The sequence below is a fragment of the Homo sapiens genome, chromosome 4 (assembly GCF_000001405.40).
Source record: "Homo sapiens chromosome 4, GRCh38.p14 Primary Assembly".
NCBI classification, from domain to species: Eukaryota; Metazoa; Chordata; class Mammalia; order Primates; family Hominidae; genus Homo; species Homo sapiens.
Genome location: NC_000004.12, coordinates 30,744,168 through 30,770,095, shown reverse-complemented (window position 1 = coordinate 30,770,095; position 25,928 = coordinate 30,744,168). Strand labels below are relative to the sequence as shown.

General features: G+C 36.7%; 1 protein-coding gene across 2 annotated transcripts in view, besides 1 other annotated feature; it reads right to left on the bottom strand.

Moving 5' to 3' along the window:
- PCDH7 (protocadherin 7) overlaps positions 1 to 25,928 on the bottom strand; it is a 426,432-nt gene that overhangs the window by 376,705 nt on the left and 23,799 nt on the right. The window lies entirely within an intron of this gene.
- Positions 11,960 to 13,159: an enhancer, noted in NCBI's record as "P300/CBP strongly-dependent group 1 enhancer chr4:30758559-30759758 (GRCh37/hg19 assembly coordinates)". NCBI's record gives its function as "activates an origin of replication core promoter dependent on BRD2, BRD4, P300/CBP, MED14 and CDK7 cofactors, with strong dependence on P300/CBP, by STARR-seq in HCT116 cells {active_cell/tissue: HCT116}" and the evidence as "EXISTENCE:reporter gene assay evidence [ECO:0000049][PMID:35650434]".

Genomic DNA, 25,928 nt, shown 5'->3' with positions numbered 1-25,928 from the left:
ACCCACCAAGCCTGTTCCAATGGCCATTACGAGTACACCACTCTTAATAAATTCAATGGGTGTTTTTCAAGTACAAAGCCTGCGGGATTGGCCACTTCAGGCTAAATTTTAGCTGCATAATCAAGAATATAGCTGAAAATGCCAATTAATGGTGCAAAGCACAAAGGATCAAGCTCTAGCTATAGAAAAACCATTTATGGACTAAAAGTATCACACCTTGTAATCCATCCCTGACTTTGCAGGATGGCACATCTGAATATTAATAATAAAGCTATCTGAATAAGTTCCTTCTAAAAAGTAAAAACTGATGAACAGTGTAAACTCTTAGCTTAAAGAATTATGTAAGATAAACATAAAGTGAAAAAAGTCCTTATATACTGAAGTAATCTCATTTTCTCTTATTTACACCATAAAGCAAACAAAACTCACAACAGGGTGGATCTTAATGCATTAAGATCCTCAAAATAGTATAGACAACATGTAAACGGATGCTAACATGCATGATAGAGTGTATCTTAAAACAGTAACATCTCAAATTTAAGAATTAAGTATTAACTACAAGCACAATTAAAAGGAAGATACATGCATGGAGAAATTTCATCTTTAGTCTCTACCTGGGAAGGCAAGTCTTAAAGCCAAATTGAGGCTTATCGGATAAATATATGCATGCCAGGCAAGCAGTGAAAAAAGCTAGGAAAGAATACCAACACAGATGGGAACGAGATAGCTGACTTGCAGGAAACCATGCGGAGTGACAGCTCTGCAGTGTCTCCACACCTGATCTGGCAGCAGGGCCTAAGGGGGCTGCGGTGCAGCCAAGTCAGCAGGAGCTGGAGGCAGATGTGGCTCTACACTAGCTGCGTGCAGGAAGTCCTGGTGCCTACAGTCCTGCAACTCTGCAAGTGGTTTCTCAAAATCAGAAAAACTCACGACTCAACTCATCTACACTTAACTAGATCCAAACTCTACTTCTATGTTGGAGAAACTTATCAGAAAGGAAATGTCTGCCAATAATTGCTATGAAAACATTTATTTGACCCTGATCCATGTTCCTCACTAGATTCAATTATTTTAAATAGTGTATGGAAGTGGAAACACAATCATTGCTAATCTATATTAGATTGATTCAGCTGTAAAAATTATACAGTTTTAAAGCCACCTGAAAGTATCATCTCCTCGACTTGATTTCATCCTCAATAACTCCATGAAGAAATTTAGCTTAAAATTATGCTTTATTTCAAATTGTTTTCACTACAAATAGCATCATCTGTTGGTCCTTACTTTTTGTGTAGCTGAACACAATTCTAAGAAAGGTTTCCAGCTGATTTTAAAGATACGTAGGAAATAGCAAGATAATAATTGAAATTTTAAAACCGAGTCATGGATAAGACAGAAAATGTACATGTACACTGTCATCTGGCTAAATAAGTTCACTGGTGATAAAAACAGCAAGATATTGTCTTAAAAGTATCTTCTCTTACTTGAAAATCTCCTGCTCTAAAACTTTCACTAAGTTACAATATTTATTAAGTCCAATTTCCTGCTTTAGCAGGACTGAATCACAGGGGGTTAATCTCAGATTCAGGCCAACTGAGGTCTTCCTGTTCATATCTCCTTTGCAAATGGAGCTTACTAGGGAAGCTGAAAAGGAACCAAATGCTTCACAGCTGAGGCTATCCACTCGACCTTCTTTCTACTGGTGACATAATTTCAGCCGCTCTTAAAAGTTCTGACATTTCCAGTAATAAGCAAGTGAAAGCATACTACTTGGAAGATGTATGCATACTACTTGGAAGATGTATGCATACTACTTGGATTAGCCAATATGCTTAGTAAAGGTACATTTAGTTATTGAATTAAACAATAAATTAAGAGATCAAATAAGATACAACTGCTAGATCTTTAAAGGCTCATCAATTGATTGATGCATGACATTAAATTTATTGTAATGGCAGCTATACATTTACATAGAGTGAGAACATTTTATCTAAAAAAGTAAATTATTAAAATTAATCTGTTGAATTTTTCTGATTCTGAGTATCACATTTTTAAGGTAAAATGACTATTAAAATTATTAAACAATGTTTTCAGACAAAGGAGACATAAATATCATGTTCAACTGATAAAACTGTAATAATGAAGGATAGGAGGTAAGTTACACAAATTGCAAACTGCAATCTTGCCAGCTCCTTTAATGGTTTTAATGGAACAGGGCTTGAATTTTCCTTTCTATTGATGTTTGTTTCAGAAGATAAGCAGTACAAAGAATTTTTTATTATTCTGAAAAGTTTAATTCTCTCAAATTTCTAATTCAGTGTTCTAAATTGCAAGGTAGGCACTACATTCTGCCTTACTAGTAAGATCTGATTTTGCTATTTTACTTAAATTCTAAAACGCTTTTCCACTCAGTACCTCTGGGAGACTAAGAGTTTCCTGACTGTTGGCAGAGCTACTAAAGATTCCTAGCCCAAATGAAAGGAAGATTTTCATCAGAGTCCAGGTTTTTATGAACAAACCGTCACAGTTCTTGTTACCATCTCTGTCCTGTCTTAAAAATGTACCTTGAACTTCTGCTAGCAAAACTCAGATTGGTTGAAATATCCAACAGACATACCCGGGCTGTGAAGTTGCCCCTTCATTAATTTCTCAGAGGCAAGTTTACCACTTGATGAATCGTTAGCATCACTTCCTGTGGCACTGAAATTTTCCCTAGGGGTCCCTACTAACTAAGGTCTAATCACCCGTGTTCTTATTTAGCTCTTGAGTTCCGATTAGATCATAGATTAAAGTGGATGACTGTAGACCGCTAATTCTTACCTGACAACATACTGAACAAAGACTCCATATTCAGGAAATACATTTTATATTTCCTTTTCACAAATCCATACCCTGCTATTGAATCATTAAATGTGCAACCACGCTGAGTTTAGCTATTCAGAGAAAAGATACTAAGACTTCAGTGGCCACAGGTTATTACTATGAGAATTTGTAATGGCTGTTATTTACAGCCCACTAGTGATTTAAGAACTTGATGTGACATTAAGAAAAAAAAAAGTATCAGATATAGGTTTATACCAACGGGTCAAACTCTTTCAACAAATATTTGAGATGAGTAATAATTTTGATATTATACATATCTTTCACAACTGTAAGCCCATCTTTTAAAATTTTTTGATGGATGGTACATTTTATGAATCTGTTTGCAACTTGAAAAAATACAGTGATTAATTCTAAAATATTGCAATTTGAAGAGACTGTGATAAAAATGACAGTAACTATAATACAAATAAATCAGATGTAACATTTAAGAAAATCCTTTTTGGTAATTTTCTATCAAAATAATGTCTAAAGTATAGAAAATACTTTGTTCTTGCTTTTTAAAAATATAAATGGGACACTGTCTTACTGACACATATACACACTATAAACATATATATATATATATATGTTTGAGATTTGATATAATACAGTACTTCTACAAAGAACACATTATTATATGATGCCTATAAATACACCAGTATCTCAGTTGAATGGATTTAAAAATCTGTGTTTCCTTCTACCCCCTAATGCAGTTGTCTTAAGATTAAATTCCAGATTATGTGTCATTGTCATTTAGCACACCACAAGTCTTGTTAGATCAAATCACTTTTCAAGTGAATTCTTACAAAAGAAAAAATAATAGTAATAGAAATTTGAATTTTGGTTGTATGTCTTATTCAAAGAAAATTTTTTTAGATGGAGCCTTCTTGTGTTGCCCAGGTTGGTCTCAAACTCCTGGGCTCAAGGGATCCCCCTGCCTCAGCCTCCCAAATAGATGGATTTCTGGCATGCACCACCCTTCTTGGATGGGTTGCATATCTTAAAACTGTATACAAATATTCTCTTAAATTTAGAATCGTCATAATACTAGATCTCACTTATAACACAGTGACATTTTGCAATTAGAGGGGGCTTTTCATCAGAATCAGTTCCTTTTTTTTTTCCCTACATTTAATGGGAGAGATCTGTCTGGCACAGTGTCCCCAGCCACTTTTCCTGTGACGTCTTATCTAAGCCCACTAGTGTCTCTTACCAGGCGTCACATTTGGTTCCCTTCTCCGTCTTAAGGGAATTTGGCTCTTCCCTGCTCCCTCCCAATTATAAATATGCAGGTTAGATAATTGACCCACCCTTTGACTGATGCATTGCCTAAACAGAACCGACTGCCTTCTAGTAAACCTCTAATGACAGGTGGGGGAGGAAGTACCAGTTAATCAACCTGAATATCCAAAGTCATTATTGCCTCAAATCCTTTGGTGCCTTCTTCAATTCTCTCAGCTATTAAAACAGCTCTCCCTTCTTCCCACCTGCACAGCTCACACTCTCATCAGAGAACACAGTAAATACAGAGGCACATTGCATACTTAAAACTTGCATTTCTTTTTACACCATAGGATTTACAATTAGACACTGAAATGTAAGCCTAGAAAATACCATTTTGAAAATAAATCTTAAAAAGAACTTATTCCCTTGGCCCATAGATTATCTGTCTACTCCAATGTCTCTGCTAAAAGAAGTGCAGTTAGAACCCCATGAAAGTGCAAAATCAGTCAGAGCAGACCTTTGCACAGCAGGTTCTAATGCTACTAAAGGTACCAGGGACTAAACAAACAAACAACACACCAAAATACTAAAACACGCATTCCAGAATGTTAAAGAAAAATCCTTGTGAGGACAATTAACAGCCTCTATTCCAGGCGGCAAGGCCATGAACATTATGCATAAAGTCACCAGATGCCATTGATGTCTTTTTTGCCCTTGGATTTTAGGTGGCAAAGTGGAATTTGAGGGCATTTTTAAGTTAGTTATCTTATATCATAACTTAATCTTTCGAGGTCGTTTTCAGGAACAATGTGCAGGAAATGAGACACCCTAACTCATAAGTGCTACTTTCCTTTCCTTCTTAAAAAAAAAAAAAAAAAAAAAAAAAAGCATCTGAAGTCCTATCTCTCTTTCCCTTAAGTAACCTTGTTAATTGCAAAGGACATTTCCCAAGCAGATCATATGTGCAAGAATACAGATAAAACAAAAAAGACCAGGCAGGGCGCGGTGGCTCACGTCTGTAATCCCAGCACTTTGGGAGGCCAAGGTGGGCAGATCACGACGTCAGGAGATAGAGACCATCCTGACCAACGTGGTGAAACCTCGTCTCTAGTAAAAACACAAAAATTAGCTGGGTGTGGTGGTGTGTGCCTATAATCCAAGCTACTCTGGAGGCTGAGGTAGGAGAATAGCTTGAACCAGGGAGGGGGAGGTTGTAGTGAGCTGAGATCGCGCCACTGTGCTCCAGCCTGGTGACAGAGCAAGTCTCTGTCAAAACAAACAAACAAACAAACAAACAAACAAACACCAAACATATAATCAGGTCAATTGTGTGCATTAGGTAGAATTAGACTTAGGTCTTCATCTCATATACCAATAAAGATCTAGTGAAACCTAAGGCTGGTATTTCAAAGTTAACACAGTGCATTTACAAACTTCGTTTCTTTCAATGTCATATAAAGATTTAACAGTAACATTTATTTTCACATGTTTGGGTAATCTTCAGTCAAGAATTGACTAGGCACTGTTGCATAAATAAATATCTTGGGATAAATGATAAATGATAAACAGTTTATAAAACTATATTCCTGAACCACTACTTAAAGTTAGATACAAGGATGGCTCGTTGATGCTAATGGAAATTAAAACTATATGGTAAAGTACCCATTAAGCATACGTTTAACCATTTGTGTGGTTAAACGCATTGCACCTTGATCTGAATTCTTGCAGAATACATGAAGACTCATTATCATTACAAATACTACATATGCTGGGTCAGGGCCATCTGATGTCAATGAAGTGTGTGTAACTTTACGAATCCAGGTAAGGATTCTCTCCTGGACACATATTTTCCTTACATATGGGTATCATTTACTACTGAAATTGAAATATGTATGTCTTACTAATGCCTGAAAGATTAGGATCTTTCAAATCCTAATTGGCTGCTTTAACAAAGTTAAGAGTAGGAAAGTAAGTATATTTAGTACAGTCATAGATTAAATGAAAAGAAACAAGCTCCGAGTGAGGATTTAGACATCAGTGAATTATGTGAGATTTCCTACATACATTTGGTAGCACCTCTTTCAGTTGCTCAGTGCTCTTTTTAGCTTGTTTCTCAGTTTCATTTTCATTCCAAATAGTAAAGGTTACACAGTGAATTAATGTTCAAAATGTGTAAATATATCAAAATGCAAGTAAGTATTTATAGTAAAGTAAGAAGAAACGGAAGACGATACACAAACGACTAGGATGTGAACAGTGTAATCTTCCTTTTTCTCTTTCCAAATGGTAGCTTAAGATATTGAGACCCTATTTCATCATTAATGAAAAGGGATTTGAGAAATACTGAGATCAAAAACAAAACGGATCCTGAAATCCCAGGCTAACAGAGCACTGTGGGATTATATTTCCTACTTCTGACTAGACAGCTATACCCATGAGGTAACAGCTGAAGCTAGTGAAACACTGATTTACTGACTTGTAATGAATGTACCTCAATGTTGAGAAGTTTCTAAGCCTCCGTGTTTATCTTACATATAAGTAGATGATTTTATATGGCCAATTTAAGAGAGCTGTTGACATTCGAAATAATTTCCCCTGCATTGTTTAGATAAAGATCACTGTGGTGAATCATCTATGAAAAATTGTAACTGTAGTTAGACTTTATAGCAATATGTTTCTGAGAAATCTTACTCATTGACTAATCAATATACAGTCAGAATTAGAAAATAAAGATTTAAAAATAATACAGCCATTTTAGGCTAAATATATTTATTTATGCTTTTATTTTTTTGAGACGGAGTTTCACTCTTGTCCCCAGGCCGGAGTGCAATGTGCAATGGCAGCTCACTGCAACCTCTGCCTCCCAGGTTCAAGCGATTCTCCTGCCTCAGCCTCCTGAGTAGCTGGGATTACAGGCTAATTTTGTATTTTTAGTAGAGACGGGGTTTCACCATGTTGGCCAGGCTGGTCTTGAACTCCTGGCCTCAGGTGATCCGCCCGCCTAGGCCTCCCAAAGTGCTGGTATTGCAGGCATGAGCCACCATGCCTGGCCTAGGCTAAATATATTTATATTTAAATTGCTGTTTGCCATTTACCTCTGCCCATCTCATTGGAGTGAGTAAACAAGTTTGGGATGTTCTGATTGTATGTCCATTCTAATGACAGATAAATAAGCATCCAGTAAACTTATAATTATTGGGAGAAATACCATGTTTGTTTGATTTTGTGTTTGCTTTAATTCCACATTTTACAACTGGCTTTACAGTTATAAAGCACTTGCTGCCTTACTCTGAAGATCTAATGCAATCCAGTCCAAGACAGTAATAATAGAAGACTAATGCTTTCCATTTAAACTAATATTTTCTTTGGTCTTTGAAAATCCTCAAGGGGTAAACTATTTTAATTTAATAGCTTCAATCGATCTTCAAATATTCAGCAATATTAAAAGCAAAGGGAATCCTTTTTTTTAATCAGCCAAGTTAGAACTAAAATAAATGAAGATTTCATATCATGAGTTCAGGAAGCAAGGGAAAAGAAGAGTAAATAACTTCCGACAAATAACCTTCTTTGAACGAATGATAATATGTTAAGAGTCTTGCTCTTGAAAAACTGAAGCTCTTATAGTTTTATTGCATATTGGATCAGTTTAGTTATTTATCTAATCATTCATATATTTAAAACAATGAATAATCATCCTTAAATGATCTTTTATATTATTTGTTATAATGTTTCCTATTGCCTCAGGGGAAAAAATGCGAATTTTAAGAAATACAAAATTGCTAAGAAAAAAACTACTGGTGTAAAGTTTCAGCATTTTAATAACACACAGCTTTTATAGCCGATTCTCCCAAGCATTCCATTCCAAGGGTGCTTATTTCAATTCTAGGAAGTCAAGTGGCATACAGGATTAATATATAAATGCAGTCACATTATCTCTGAATTCTATTTTATTATATATTTATATCAAACATGGCCTTGATCATGTATAAGACTTTAACATTGGAGAAAAGCCTGAATTTCACTCAATTATACAAGAAACAAGCATAGTGTTGAAGAGGGTACTCAAGGGTGGTTGGCAGGTATGCTCTGAGGTCACATCAAACTAATTCTGTCTCTCACTTCTCTGTGAGTTTGAGCAAATCGACATCTAAAGCGAGAATTTTTTTCTCTACCAAATAGATTAAATAGCATATCTAATTCATATTACTGTTGTAAGATTTTATATTATTCATTTTAAGAACTTAGCACATGACAACACAAAATAAAGCATATTCTTATTTAGACAGTCAAGTGATTGAATTTGGACCTTTCCACTTTGCAGGTTTATTTACTGGATTTGAATGTAATTATCCCAAGTTATGCTGTCTCATATGGCAGTCCCTAGCTTTATATGATTATTGAGTACTTACAACAAGGCTAGTAAGAATTGATATGAGGTGCTGTAATTATAAAATATATATCAGATTTTGAAGATTAAATTTTTAAAAGGATATAAAATATCTCATTAATAATTTTACATTGATTAAATATTGAATGATAGTATACTGGATATATGAGGTTAAATGATATGTATAATTAAAATTAATTTCATCTTTTAAAAATAATCATAAATAAGGCAACTAGAAAATTAAAAATTACATATGTGACTTGCATTATATTTTCACTGGACACTGCTACTCTAGAGTATTTTCATAAGAAGAGCCCAGTGTACTTTGTAAAAGTGAAAGCTCCTGGCCCATGACTGAGATAAGCAGAGGAGAGCTGCGCTTCCTAAAAGCTCTGTTAGTGAATCTTTTGCAGGTAAGAATTTAAAAACTATTTCCCTAAGGCTGCATACATTAGGTACTGCCAAGAACCCATCCTCATCTGGATGTTCCAGCTAAAAGTCCTGAGAGATTTGGCTATTCCTACTTAGTGCCTAATGAGACTAGAATACAATACAAGAAAGGGGTGCCTATTAAACAGAGAGCAGTTCCTTTAGGCAAGCACTCAACCAAATGGTGAACATCAAGATTAAGGAGAATTTACAGACGTCTCATTTTTCAAGTTGAATGGAAGCTTGTGGGTCTTTCTTAATGCAGGGTGTAAACAGAACTCCAAAGAGAATGATTGGGAAGAAGGCACCCCACTCTGTAAGACCCTTTCTGATTCACTCTTGGAGATGTGTCTGTGTAAGGCACACAGCTGAGCTGTCAAAGGAGGGGAGAGAAGTCAAAACTCAAGGAAATCTCACTGTATAGCCATGCTCAGATGCCCTTGGTTGGGAGACCTTATCAGTGTCTTGGTGCCCTTTAGGAAATGACATGGCATAATGAAATATTTGGTTTCCTTGAGCAGTGGTTTGTAGTTCCCCTTGAAGAGTTCCTTCACTTCCCTAGTTAGCTGTATTCCTAGGTATTTTATTCTCTTTGTGGCAATTGTGAATGGGAGTTCACTCATGATTTGGGTTTCTGCTTGTCTGTTGTTGGTGTATAGGAATGCATGTGATTTCTGCACATTGATTTTGTATCTTGAGACTTTGCTAAAGTTGCTTATCAGCTTAAGAAGCTTTGGAGCTGAAATCATGGGGTTTTCTAGATATAGGATCATGTCATCAGTAAACAAAGACAATTTGGCTCCCTCTCTTCCTATTGGAATACCTTTATTTCTTTCTCTTGCCTAAGTGCCCTGTGCCGGAAGAGTGACCTCTTGAAGGGCTAGGGATAGTGGGTAGGAAGTGGACCTTGATAAGTGTTTTGAGCAGCACAAGACTGCCTTCCCCTGCTCCTCTCTACTTCTTCCTCCTTAATGTTCCATTCCTTCAGCAAGAGCTGTGACAAGGCATTGTAGGAGAAATTTTTGTGATAGAAGGCTGAGAAACATGTAGAAACACTGGGGGATACTAACCTTGAGAAGCAGAGGAACAATGGCACTTGAAGCTTAACTACCGTACTTCTTAAGTTTTTTTTTTTCTTATCAGTAGCTTTCATATGTGTTTATGTTTCATGCCCACCTATTTCCAATGTAGAGAGGAGGTGCCACTATTTTGAAAGGAGGGTTTCATGAAAAGATTGTCCTGGGTTTCATTATGAGGGAATTGGGGAGTAGAGCCCAAACCAAGAGAAACATCACCCTAGGGTTTTGAGCCACATGAGTTATGATCAAAAAGTAATATGTAAGATGTATCTAATCTTACAAAACAGATTCCGGTATTACAAATACAATGGTGGCACTTTCTTAAATAATCTAGCACTTAACCACTGTTAATTCATTTAATAAAGATTTCATTTATATGAATCTTTCATTTAATGAAAGATTTTGTTATATATGTATGTGTATATATATGCTGTATTTTATACATTTCAATATATTTATTTATAATGTAATGAAATTGTGGCTAAGATGAAGAAAAATTCTAAACAGATTTTTTTCTTTTCACACAAAGATAAACCCCTGACATCCAATAACTTAATATTCAACTTCTATCTTTTCACTCTTCCTAGAAAATATGAACTTTATCTTTCTCTTGAGAGCACAGATTGGAATAAAGTTGACTGCTTAATTGAGTTTCTTCGTCTTTCAAAGATCCTTTACTCCCAGAATTTCCTGAAAGCCGATTCACCGAATTCTAAGAAACTCATTCTATTTCACCAGAAAAGTGTAGAGCTCAAAGTAACTATGAAATTGCAACAAGAAATTCGGACAGAGGATGAACAGAATGATTTCTGTTCTTATCCATAAAGAAGAATGCTGACATCTTTGACATGACCACTTAAAAAGCTTCCCCAAAGAGGCCAGGCGCAGTGGCTCACACCTGTAATCCCAGCACTTTGGGAGGCCAGGGCGGGCGGATGGCCTGAGGTCAGGAGTTCAAGACCAGCCTGGCCAACATGGTGAAACCCCATCTTTACTAAAAGGACAAAAATTAGCTGGGCGTCATGGCGGGCACCTGTAATCCCAACTACTCGGGAGGCTGAGGCAGAAGAATCACTTGAACCTGGGAGGCGGAGGTTGCAGTGAGCCGCGATCACGTCACTGCACTCCAGCCTGGGTGACAGAGTGAGACTGTATCACAAAAAAAAAAAAAAAAAAACACTTCTTCAAATAAATACAAAAAATTAAAACAGGTAAGCCACATATCAACAAAAAAATTATCTATCTTAATGTGCTAGAGTTTCTAAGAAATACCCTACTCAATTAGAATAACTGCATCAATAATTTATTATATGAAATACTCTCTTCCTTCCAAATTAAGCAGTATATAAAAAAGCAATGAGCAATCCACAGTTATGTAGTTAATTTAGTGCAATACTTAGTGCAATACCTGCATTCCCAGCCATGCTTTTCTCCCTTCCTGTCCACCGATGCAGGCAGGGTCATTTGTCCTATCTGCCCTTTAGTGCTCACACAACTGTCATGCTATTGCAGATGGAGATGTGGTTTTTATCTTTGTGAATGTTGGCTGTCCTCAAATATATATGTATGGCAAAATGAACCACAATATCAAGAGCCTTCGATGCTCTTTTCAAAGCTATTGTTACAAACTTACGGGCAGTAACTGCTCATACTGGAACTGTAAGATAAATGTTTTAAATTCTATGAAGTATTCCATTTGTCTGCCAGTCTTCCAATGGCATCTCATGACACTTAGGGTAAAACCATGCACAACATAACCTCTTCTCTGAACTTTCTTCCTAACACTTCCTTTCTAATACTCCCATACTCCCCAACCCCTCTCCCACCATGCTGGTCTCCAGGACCAGGCTTCAAGTATCCCATACAGGTTTCTACCTGGATCTTCCTGTTCTCTCTGTGTGGTGAGATGCTCAATATTCACATGGTTTCCTCCCTCCTACAGTTTAGGTCTTTCTCAAACATCACCTTCTTATCAAGGCCTTTCTTGATAGCTAATTGCAGCCCTCACGGTCCTCAGAACTCCCTACATTGTCTCTGCATTTTTTTTCATAACATTTGCCACCATCTAAGTGTACACTTTGCTTATCAATGTCTTATTAATCATGCACATTTCTCTACTAGAATGTAAGCTCCCCGTGATAGCAGTGATTTTTAGCAAGGCTGTTCTTTCCCGTCCTAACACCTTGAGCACTGCCTGGCACAGAGCATGTACATATGCATTATATGAATGTTTGTTGCTTTCAGTCACTAATCTGATCACTCCAATCATTCTACAAGCTTTTATTGAGAGCCTACTATGTATGCAACGTTGGGTATTCAGTGATAAATTAGACAGTCCTTTTTCTTGAAAAGGTCACATAATTGCGGGAATAGGCATATAAAAATTTAATTGGAATGCAAAGTGATTAGTGTATGTCGAATGAAGACTAAAGGAAGGAGAACAACTCATTTGGCGTGGGAGGCAGGGAAAGCATTGCATAGGAAGTGACATTTGAGCTGAGTCATGAAATATGAGTGTGTTTCTGAGAAATGGAGAAGGATCAAAGGATGTTTCATACAGGCAAAAAGGAATGTACAAAGGCACACAGCTGATACAGGGGAAATCCTGTTGGGCAAATAGTAAATAGGCTAGGTATGGCTAGCATACCTGAGCAGGGCTAGGCAGAGTGCCTGCGAGGAAAGTCAGAAAATGCAGATTGATAATCATTTGCTAAGGGCCTTTCTGCCCTGCTCACGGTGTTCGCTTTATCCTATTGGTGCTACTGAAGGCTTTTACACACAGGAGCAACTTGGACAATCCAGAAAGCAAGATCTATTTTTTTGGAATAACTCTTAGGGCATCATGAAAGGTAGAACATTTGAGGATGAAGCCTAGAAAAAGGAGCAGAATGGGTGTGCAGCTACAGGGAGATAGTGAGTTTGACTTTGCACACATTACACATTGAGTCTTGTGCACAAATACAGAAACCAACTGTCATTTGAAAATAGAAGCTCTTTTGATAGGTGGTGACTGCTATAATAAGGAGTGTAACTCAATGGAAGCTTTGGGAATGTGACATTGAAAGGATGAAAAAGATGTAGAACTGTTTGGAGGTAGAAGTACCCCCTGGATATAGTGACAGCTGTTACTGTAAGCTCTGGGAGCAGAGCTTCCTACAAACAGTGGCACAGTAAGGCTGAAAGATCCAAGCCTCTCAGTCAGAGGAGACTTAGCAAAAAACAGTTGGAAAAGGAGATTAAGGCGTAGGCCAGAGAGTAGTGAGCTCACAGCCAAAAGGGAGATGAAGAAATAAATACGTACAAAGGAAGACTCCATTTTATGGTGGGAGAGAGCTGTGAAGAAGTTGGTACATGTTTAAGATGTTAGACATCTAAGCAAGAACTAATGGGGAGAGAGACTGAACAAAAGACAGGAAGAGAATGAGTAATGAAACAATGTTTTAGGAGAAATATAGGTAGTGGCGTAACATACAGGGATAACAAACAGCCTGAGCATTTTTTAAGTTGACACAAGCAAAATTTTCTTAACATGCACAGAAACATGAAAGATAAGAAGAGGTTGTACCGTATTCGGGGTGTCAGCACAATGTAATGGTTGAGACCAAGGTCTCTAGCATCAGACATTAAGGATTCAAGTTCCATTATTACCGTTTACTAAGTATATGACCTGAAGTTACTGAATCTGTATTTGTCTCAGTTTCCTCATCTTCCGGGTGGGTGCTATCATTTGGACATAGTTGGTTTGTCCCCACCAAATCTCATGTTGAAATTTGATCCCCCGTGTGGTGCTGTTGGGAGGTAAGGACTAGTGGGAGGTGTCTGGGTCATGAGGGAAGATCCCTCATGAACAGCGGGGTGCCATTCTTGAGGTAGTGAGTTCTTACACTCCCAAAACCAGACTGGTTCCCAAGGGAATGAATTAATTCCATCTAGAGTGGGTTGTTATAAAGCTTTCTTAGGTTTAGTCCCTCCTCACAGGTGCATGTTTCCACTTTGACCTCCGCCATATATTTTGTTTGTTGGTTGGTTGGTTGGTTTTTGAGACTGAGTCTCACTCTGTCACCAGGCTGGAGTGCAGTGGTGCGATATCGGCTCACTGCAACCTCCACCTCCTGGGTTCAAGTGATTCTCCTGCCTCAGCCTCCTGAGTAGATGGGACTACAGGTGCACGCCACCACACCCAGCTAATTTTTGTATTGGTAGTAGAAACGGGGTTTCACCATCTTGTTCAGGATGGTCTTGATCTCTTGACCTCCTGATCCTCCTTCCTCAGCCTCCCAAAGTGCTGGGATTACAGGTGTGAGCCACCGCACCTGGCCTCCACCATGTTTTAATGCAGTACAAAAGCCCTCATGAGAAGCCAAGGAGATAACAGTTCCATGCTTCCTGTACAGACTGTGGAACTGTGAGCCAAATACACCTCTTTTCTTCATCAATTACCCAGCCTCAGGTATTCCTGAGCAACAAAAAACAGACTAAGACAGTGGGGGATGGTAACCATTTTTTCTGCACAGGCTTGTTATGATAACTACAGGAGTCAATCTCCCCCTTGTAAAGCTCTCAGGACAGTGTCTGGGACTACTTTGTGGCTATAGAAGTATTTGTTGAGAAAACAGGAAGACAAAAATGTTTTGTGGACTCAGGCCTCAAGGCTAGAGGCCTCTCTTTTTTTTCTGTCAAGAGCAGATAGGAAGGACTACAAGGAGTTGAAATCTATGCAACTTTCAGGATCCAAAAAGAAGTTTGTTTATAACAGGGTTTTCCCTGTAAATTTCTCTCAATAAAAGCAATTATAAGGCAAGTCAAAATTGTGAGGAAGAAAGGGAGAGCACCATACTTATTCATAAACAGAGAAACATCTGTAATTTTTCAAACACTTGAGTTGTTTAAATTTCTAAGATCAAGCACATGTAAGTTTTATGCCCCTATTAATATTATAGGATGGCACGCATATGATGAGATACTCGGTGAGGTCTGTGACTAATCTTAAACGGACATAAGAAGCTCTGGAGTCAGCTAGCCCTAGGTTCCAACCCAGCTCTACATCTTAGCCACTGTATGATCTTTGAAAAGTTGTTAAACCCCAAACCTCAGTTTCTCCATCTGTGAATACAACCATAAAAATATTATCCATCAGCAGCATAAGGATGAAATGGCATAATCAGCCTACACACACCTTGCCTGGAGTCTGGCGTATAATAGATTCCCCATCAATGTGGACTTCCTTAAGCTCTATTATAAATAAAATTGTTTAAGCCATCTGAATATTGCCAAACAATTAGGTACACCCATCAAAAATCTTCACTGCCCATCTACTTGTTAAGCTATGTAATTAGATAATGTCAAAAAAAAAGTACATATAAGTTTCTAAAGGATTGACTTAAAATATTTAAATACCAAACTGAATTGAAGATAAAATATTGAAATCCTTTAGAAGGGTATCTGTGTGTCATATAGAAAATGATGAATCTCTTTGAATGTCTTACCTATTTCCCTGAATAGTATTATTGTGTGACCTTCATTTTTTTTACAGCAATAAAAGTACCTTGAGCCTGACAAGATTTATTGTTTCCAACTAATATTTCCTGTATTGGGTGTGAATTTAATTCACATTAAGGACTTACAATTTAGGACCTTTAATTCATAACTTTTGTAAGCATAGAAAACCTTGGACCCTAAACAATCTAAAATAAATTAATATATCATGCTTTCGGTAGAAGGGAAAATAATAAAGTGATACACTTCTGCTCATGTCCCTGGAGCTGCTTGATTATAACAACCTCTTTTCTTTTTCACTTGACAAATGACTTGGGAATTATCTGTATATTGTCTGATACAGAGCTAAACTTTTTTCAGGACATTTTCTAATGAGTCATGGTGGAGGCTAATAGTAACCTCTTCTACTACTTCCTCCTCCCTCCAGAAAAAACACACACACACACACACACACACACACCTAGTGTTTGCAGCAAATCTTGACAGTTTTGAATAGATAAGAAGAAGCTACCTGCTTCATAAAAATTTAGTTATCACATACCGCCCAACCTGACTACAATTGGAGAAGCGTGTGTATAGGGTTTCAATGTAACTTATAAAAATATATTTTAAAAGTATACAGTGCTGTTATGTCTGGTAGTTTCTATGATCAGTAACACTTATCTATAAAATCAAGGTTTTGTTGGTAAATTTCATAATATTCAAATCTAATTCATGCTTTATTTGAAGTTACAAATGTAATGTTTTTCTCTTCCAATATCATTCCATATTTATATGTGCAATGAAATCAGAAAGTACTGGTAATTATTTTTTTGGGAGGAATTCTTAAAAAAAGGCTCTATCACAATTCTTAAAATGCACTGCATATGTAATAAATGTTTATGTCTTCTTCATTCAAAATTAGAAGGTAAGCTTCACAAGAATAAGAACAGAGCTAAAAACAGTCAAGGGGTTTAATAAATATTTACTGAATGACAACCAGAGCCAAAAACATGTCTTTGCCATGGAAGCTTAGCCCAAATCTACCTTGAGCCCTGTGTCAAAAATCCAAAGGGTGTATAGCCCCTGAAATGCTACCTTATATGGCGTGCTACTGCTAGCCTTTGCACGTACTAAGTGCCTGCCTAAGAAATGACTCATTTTTGCCTATAATGCACCTTCATACATCAACTAAGCAATATGTGCAAGTTATGTGAAAATACACTTCTATGTTTCTTGCTAATTTAACCATATTGTCACTCAAGAAAATATGCTGTTCCCAGCTTACCACGACCATGTATATAAACTGAGGCATTTTCATTCTGGTTCCTTATCAAGAACAGAGAAAGTAGTAAAGGTTATCTCTCTTTTTACAGTTAGAGATACTTGAAGGGAAATGAGATATGTACCAGAAATAAAAAGACTCTGTATGGAGAAGTTAAGAGAAATACTCTGACCTTGTCTTTCATAGGCCCATTATTGTTTATAACGACTTAAAGGGTCTCCCAGGCATGATGCTGACATTTATGGTATTTTATCTCCCATACCAGCCACTGAGAACTCTTTCACTTTCATTAATATATTTTAATCAAAGATTCCTGGAATCTCAACACTTCTTATTCCTTTCAGGTCTTCCCAAAATCCATGACACCAAGTTCAAATGCTTCCGTGTTGAAGTCTAATATTTTTAACTGGGTTACAGTAATATGCCATTTACTTATTCCTTGCAGAATGAATTACCACTTATTTAAATATCTACAGTATATGTGGGGCTGATCTTTAGTTATAAAATCTGTCCCATTTTCCAGAGTTCTTTTTTTCTTTTTTTTCTTTTTCTTTCTTTTTTTTTTTTTTTTTTTGCCCCTACAGGTAAGAGGAAGATAGGACTGGATGTGTGAGTATCTGGGTTAAATTTCTGTCACAAACTTCTTTAGTCACCATTAATCACTGAGATTCTGACCTTCAGCAATGAAAGAAAACAATTTATAAAGTTTGCAAAAAAAAAAAAAAGTAAGAGTCCATATCTTCTAATACATACGTGCACTGTTAACATTCCTCACATTTAGATCAAAAGATAGCTTTGAAATTTTATTATTTTGAGAAGTAGAAATATTAAGGCTAAACTACTGAATTATAATGAAATTCTTTCAAGTTTCAGGTTCAGGGATAAAAAGAGGAGACACCAGGTAGCTGTCACTACTTCCTCACTCCTGGTATCACCTACTTGGGTGTGAGATGTGTTGGAAAAATCATCCATGAACCTGCTCCATCATGCCAAAGAAGCCAAGAAGGACCAGCCTGACCAACATGGTGAAACCCCGTCTCTACTAAAAATACGAAAAATTAGCTGGGCATGGTGGCAGGCACCTGTAATCTCAGCTACTCCGGAGGCTGAGGCAGGAGAATCGCTTGAACCCGCAGGCGGAAGTTGCAGTGAGCCGGGATCACGCCACTGCACTCCAGCCTGGGTGCGACAGAGTGAGACTCCATCTTGAAGGAAAAAAAAAGGGAAAGAAAGAAAAAAAGTAATAAAGAAAAGCAAAGTAAAGAAGCGTGGAAGAGTGGAAAGATAGGAACTACCTAGACATATTCTTTTTCAATGACAATCATGCTCTTTTAGTTTTTTATGTCTAAGATTATTTAGAGAAAAAATCTTATTCTACCCTAAAAACCATCATGGCAACAAGTTTACTATTTTGAAACAGGAGAAAATTCCATTTTAAAAATGACAGCGAATAGGAAGGACATTCCATGGTGAAAATATTTTCCTTACTTTCATTCTCAAAATATTTGTTAGGACTAAGGGGAAATATACAAGTAAATATTACTGGAAAAAATGTATAGCCCTATTAAAATATATTTATTAAGTTGAAATTCCTTCAAAATAAAATTGTCTAGCCAAAGGTGAAATCTACAATATCAGTTCCAAAGCATTATTAAGCACCTACAAAGCACAGTACCTAGCTCTGTGGAGGTCACAAAGATTAATAAACTTTTCAGAGACCATGCAAAATATATATATATACTCATATTTTAATACTGTCAAATTTAGGAACATCCACATAATATAATATTTGGATCCAATTATATAACCTATAAACTTTCCTTAAATCTATTCCCCAACTATGGCTATTTCACAGTTTTCTAAAAGATAATGATATAAGAAATATTTTCCAATGTGTTTTAGGATTTAAGGAATGCTTATACTTGGGAAACAGAAGAACTCTTTTGCTCGAAATATTTCTGAGATCTTTGATCCTATATCACTCCAATCAAAATAGCCTAGCAAAGGATATGTATTAAGTGTAATCACTTTTAAACATCAAAATGCCTCAGTAAAATTTTCACTGAGTTAAGCTCACTCAAATAAATATGCACAGCATTAATTTTACCACGTTACTTTGAAAGATTTTAATTTAAAGACAAAATTCCAAAAAGCTCATATCATACAAGGTTATAGAAGTTGGAAGTAGTTTTTAATTAAATGAGTTTGCACAGGTACAAAATCACCTGTGCACGATTCTCCAGCACTTTGAGGTAACAGTTTCAATATCTTAACATGGCCACAAAAAGTCTTTGAAATAAAAACCTAACTCATTTTATGGCCTCATTGTCCACTGCTTCTGCACCATAACACAGGACAATTTTTAGTCTTGCGTTTTTTTCCTTCCCTGCACCAAAAAGTACCTGCCTTTCCTTAACAACTCTGTAAATATCACCTATTCTGCAAGAACTTTCTACATCCTGGAAAAAAAAATAGTATTTCCATTCTCTATCATAGTACTTTATATATAAATGCTCCAAGTGTTATAATAGTTTGTTCATATGACTGTCTTTCGCGTTACACTTAAAGCTGCTTCGGGGTGGGCACCATTCATAACCATTTTTTGTATTCTCGGTACATGGGCCAGTACCTAGAATGCAGCATGTTCTCAGTAACTTGGTAAGTTAATGAATGCACATAATGGATAAGGGCATACAGTAGAAAGTGGCAAAAACAAATGCACTGTTTTATTATGGTGAGCAAACACAAAATATCTCTAGGAACTAATTTTCCTCCTCTCCAAATTTGCACCCAGGGTTAACTTTTCCCTCTGCGTATAGATGAACCTCGCCACAGACATCATTTCCTCACAGATTCACAGAGTTGAATGTTAGTTTGAGAGAGGGATTAATGGTTGAGTCTAGGTATCTAGACTCATATACACCTATTCTTTCCACTCTCACTCTCATTTATTGTGATCATGTTCTATGCCCAGGAGGTTGACCAATATGAACTGCAATCACAAGGTCCCTTGACCTCTGACTTATAGCAAGGTTAAGCCAATGAGAAATTGCTAGCCCATACTAAAAAGAGAGAAAAGAAACAGGATTTCCAGCCTTCAGGGCCACTTTGGACAGCCTTCTCCAAATTTCTCTGTTTTCATAATCTATTAACTTCTCCCTCTCTCTAGTGCTTTAGCCTAAAGGTGGAAGAGAGTGGGTACTACTCATTATAGATCAGAAATTCCCTAACATGGCATTATCTACATTCTATGCAGAATAAGTATATGTTGCAAGGAGCTGCCCAGTGCCTTATAGGAGGTTTAGCAACATCCCTGCCATCTACCCACTAGATATAAATACCTTTTGTATAGAAACTTGCAGATTACTTTCAGTTATTTACTCCCATTTAAGCTCCAGAACTGTGTAAATAGATGTTATTATAATCATTTTTACAGATTAGAAAATGAAACAGTTACAGCACCTAATAATCCTGCACCTAAAAATTCTACAAAGAAATGGTACATATGGAATTTTTAAAACCAAAATCATAATCTAATTTTCATTGTACTGCACTGGCCTTATAAACATTATTAAACTAAACTTCCTTTTATTACTATTTTCCTAAATGCCCGTGTTTTATCATCAGGATTCACTGGTTTCGGATAAAATACAAAAGTCATAGTGGAGTTCTCTGGGCATAACATGAAATGTAAGTGATACAGTCAATCATCTATTATCTCTTTTTCTTCCCCTTAGAAGAGCAGTGTTGCAGGCATATTGTATTGACAATTGGAATCCTTTTCAAAGATTATGTATTCTGAACCTCTTCTACAGAAAAAAGACCACCAGGCAATAGAAAAAAATAGAATAACTCCAGGCATACTCATGTATTTGATGATTTTATGTTAAATCAAGAAGGATGCTTAATGCGTTTCAGAGTTCCAGAGACTGTTCTATCTTTCCTCCTCTCTTCCCACTACCATGACGAAGAAAAAAACTTGCACCGATTGAAATTTTCTCATTCATACAAGACACAGACTGCTATCGGACTTTAAGAAATGATGTCAGCCATGTGTGCCATGAAAAAAGTTATGAATTCAAAGCAGTAACAGGTAATATTTCCATTAGTATCTGAGGGGGCATTAATTGATGAGAGTGGTGAAACCACACCTTTTCTTCATAGTCAATATTTCTCTTTTACTTTTTCTTTCTTTTGTTTTAGAAGGAGACATTATCTTGGATTCATTATCTCCAAAGAAAATGCATATAGGAATAAATCGAATGCATTTGAGGAAGCTACGACTAAATGCCCTTCTCCAATTCATAACATATCCCTTCCCCTGTTGATAAGTACTAGTATAATAATGGTTAATATGGACTCTTGCAAGAAAAAAGGTCATATGACATAGTTGTAAGAGAGGAAAGAATTATGACTAGTGCCAGATATAACTACATCTTATTTCCTTTAAGTTGTCCCAGAGAACACCCATCAGGCTGTCCATTCAGTGGCATCATTGTCAGGCCACTCCTTAGAGAGTAAAGACATTATCTTCTGTTGAGTTCCTGTACATCCCAAGACGGGTGCATCATTATCAAATTTAACCCTCACAACACCCCTGAATGGCCAATATCACATAGGATGTCAATTAATGATATTGCTATTCCCAGTGTTCAGATGGTACTGCTATGGTTTGAATGTGTCGCCCCAAAATTCGTATATCAAAAACTTAATTGCCATTGTAATAGTATTAGGTAGTAGGGCCTTTTAGAAGTGATTAGGTGATAAGGATATTCATCTCACAAAGAGATTAATGCTGTGTTTCAAGTGGATTAGTTATCTCAGGAGTGAGACCCTGATAAAAAGAATGAGGCTGGCCCCATTTGTTCTCTGTCTAATGTGCTCACTCACGATGTGTTGCCTTCCAACATGAGAGGACTCTCTCTAAATGCCTGTATCATGCTCTTGGACTTCTCGGCCACCAGAACTGTGAGCCAAATAAATCTTTTTTCTTTATAAATTGCCCAGTCTGTGGCATTCTGTTACAGCACAGAAAACAAACTCAGATGGATACTGAAGCTCAAAGAAGTAGGATGAGACCTACTGTATCTCAAGCCTGGCCTCACCACCCCTTCTCGGCCTCTGATTGTAGCAGGTCAGTTAGATCACATCCAACAAGCAGAGTATTTGTATGTAACAAGCACTTGATAAGTTGAATAAATAGTTTGTAAAAGTTTCTCCAGTCTTGTGCTCCTATTAAAGTGTGAAACATTTTTTCACATTTCAAAATATTTGACAGCCTTGTATATGAGAATAAACCTTTCATTTTACAGAAAAATAACTGATTGCTTAAACTTTTGCTATCTCTGAATTTGTTTAAAACACTAATAAATTATTCTGAGGGAAAAGCAAGATACAGTGCAAGTAATAATAAAGTATCTATTCAGTAATAAAATGTTGAGATTGCACAGAAAAAAAGAAAGCCTGACTGGAGTCTACCCAAATAATATTTTGTGGCTTATAACAGGTGGTTATCAAATTTTGGGAATGTCTGCCAATCAGACCTGTAGTATGCAAAACAATCGATCCCTAAGATGTCCACATCCTAATCCAGGAAACCTGTGAATATGTTACCTTACATGGCAAAGGAGAATTAAGATTGCAAATGGAATTAAAGTTTCTAAACAAATAAACTGAAAATAAAATTGTCTTGGATTATCCAGATGGACCCAATGTAACCACAGTGTCCTTAAATGTGAGAGAGGCAGAAGAGAGTCAGAATGAAGAGATAGGAGAAAAATTCTACTAGCCATTCCTGGCTTTGAAGATGGAAGGGGATCAAGAGTCAAAGAATGCAGGCAGCCCTAGAAGCTAGAGAAGACAAGAAAACAGATTCTCCTCTTGACACTACAGAAAGAAACATGACCTTGCCTCCACATTGATTTTAACCTAGTGAGACCCATTTCTGACTTTTGACCGTAAGAGCCATTTAAAATAAAAAAGTTTGTTGTTTTCGGACACTGCATTCATTATAATTTGTTACAGGGGCAATGGGAAGCTAATAAATGAATAAAATTAAGATTTGGAAGGCACTTGGAAAATTATAATTAGACGCATTAGCCAACATCATGTAGGACATGAATTAGAGGATCCTGGTTGTCTAGTACAAACATGCTTCTATTTTCTTAGATCCAGTTCAGTATTAACTATATAAACCATACTAAAACATTTTAACAACATACAGGTTGTTTCAGCTAATGCCTTTAGAAAATCATAATATAAATTGCCATGATGGAAAAAATAATTCAAAAAATGCATTGAAATACTTAAAGTATTAAGAGACTTCATATATCTTGTTCAAATGATTCATTATACTGCTGTATTCTGATTCACTAAAGAATTCACTACTATACCAGTGGTATAAATGACCCAGTGACACAAATGACCTATATTTCGAAATCCTCACATGGGGATAGGCCAGTGCAAGGAAAACCTATTTATGGTTTTCTAGATTCTACACAAACAGAAAGAAAGGAGAGGAATAAAAGAAGTGAAATGATTGAAAAGGAAAAAAATCTTCTTTCCATCAAGCAGACTTAGTTAAAATAACCATTGTGAGAGGAAATTTTTTTGGCATCAAGTCAATTTTCAATTTTGTCATTAGTAATGTTAACATATTAGACCACTAATATTTACCAGTGGAAATATCCTCTCAATAGGCTATGCCAACCAATGCATTAGCTCAAACTATGGCCCTGAGAGAATTACACAGAGATTCTGCAAGACTTTGTGGAAAGCAAATGGGGCAAATTTCAGGAATAGCCACCAAAAATAAAGACTCAAGAAAATGGAAAAGTTGGCAGCATAAAACACTAGGAAGATTAGATGCCAAAATATTAAGGCAAGGACTGTAACTAAGGCGAATTGCACTGTGGTGCCCATTCCAGAACATCTACCCCCTGCTCTCCCTTCACGCTGCAGGGCCTTACAACCAAAGCTAATTCCCAGAAAATCAATCTGGTTCTTGCAAAAACCAGATTGAATTAGGATTTTTGTTTACTATCTTTTACACTGAGGGTGGGCCAGGACACTTTTTAAATGTTGTGGTCTTTCTGCCTGTGGCTTCTTTTTAATCATTTTCATAAAAGATAGAAATATAATTTTAAAGTATTCAGCCACTATTATTTCCTCGAGGTGAGAGTCTTTCAAACCTTGAATTGCTTCAGGATTTGTAAAAATAATATCTCTTTAGCCAGGCACAGTGGATCACACCTGTAATCCCAGCACTTTTGGAGGCTGAGGCAGGCGGATCACTTGAGGTCAGGAGTTCAAGACCAGCCTGGCCAACATGCTGAAACCCCGTCTACAAAAATTAGCCAGATGTGGTGGTGCATGCCTGTAATCCCAGCTACTGGGGAGGCTGAGGCAGGAGAATCACTTGAACCTGGGAGGCAGAGGTTGCAGTGAGCTGAGATCACGCCACTGCACTCCAGCCTAGGTGACAGAGTGAGAATCTGTATCAAAAAAAATTAACAGTAATAATAATAATATCTCTTTAGAAGAAAAATTATATGTGCATGCACGCACACACACACACATACACACACACAAATAAACTGAGTAATTTGATCCTGGATGATATCAGCACTAAATAAGAAGTACCTAATTTCCACCAAGACACAAAACCAGGGATCTGTTGTTAGTTACAGCTTTAAAAGACTTCATGCAGGGACCAAGAGTGACAGGAGAAAAGTCGACCAGGATTGTTTTGCCTCCACTGTTTTCCATACTGCATGATGCCCCACATGAGTGCCTTTATTAGAAAGCCTCATGTCAAGGCTTTTTGTTCTTCTAGAATCCTCCATGAATAGAAATATAACTTGGAGAGGCAGTATCTTAAAAGCTGTCATCAACCAGTCACTTAAGCAGGATTATCTGAAAGCCAGCTGATAACAAGTACCAGTGTTAATAGGACACATGATAAGTGCTCCAGTGAAAAGGAGAGCACTAGATAAATGAAAGCCACCTAAAAATAATTAGAAATTGTAAAAGAAAAAAAGTCATTATAATTGTTCTCCAGATATCCCAGGGCTAGAACACCCTCTACAACCAATTCATAAAAAAAAAAAACAAGATGTAAAAATATGAGATTACGTGACTGTTTTTAGGAAAATATAATTTATGACTCAGATGAATTGTACTCTTCAAAGAAGTTGCCATGGGAGGGTGTAAACATTCCAGAAATGTTTCCATGATTAAAAGTGTCTATATATCTTCTTTATATAAACTCCTTGTTTTTTTGGAAATCGCTTCACAGCATCTGTCCCTCTATTTTCAATCTCCTCGATGATGGCAAAAGTTCCATCTGAAGGTGATTTGACATCTAAAAATAACTAAAAGTCATTTAGAGCCAAGAGTGAAGAATTCAGGGTGAACAGTTACAGTGAATAAGTTCAGTTTTGGTCAAAATCATAGAATGACTAAAATACAGTGAAGCTAATGGGAATTGCTCATTAACTGGTTCTAGGATTGACAATTAAAGAATTAATCCATTAGCAATCTGTTAAAAGCAAAAACTTGTTGAAATGTAAAGGAGGAATGTGAAGAAAAATACATCCCAACTCAGCTCCAGTGAGAATAGTTGATGCCCTATGGCCAAGGTTGCAAGACTGATGCAGGACTGATAAAGGAGAAGGAAATCAAAGCCATATTCTAACTCTTGTGAGCCAAGTGCCAAGTGTCATCCTTTCTAGGAATCAGTCAGTCCTTCCTCAGGGTACATATGGTTCCCATTATAACCCTTATCATACTACATTATAATTATTCCTGAACAAGTCTGTCTCCCCTACAAGACTGTCAGCTCCTGCTTCATACTACTAGTGTAATGGAACATTAATAATTGGGAGTTAAATAAATGAATGAACAACACCCATTGGACATGTAAATCATGGTTACATTATTATTACAGTCTTACTTATGGTCCCACCTTATTTCGAATCATATAGGTTAATGGAGACACAGCCTAAGGAAACTCTTTTGCTTTTACTGACCTTTAGTTATATGAATCAAGGAATGTTGGAAACTTGCTGATTTTTTTAAAAATGTAAATTTGTTAGTCTGTTAGTCCTTTATGGTTTTTTCAATGCAGCTGGGACACTGAAGTTGAAAAAACATTCAGTGTTTAAAATCCTACCACTTGGCTGCTTGGTAG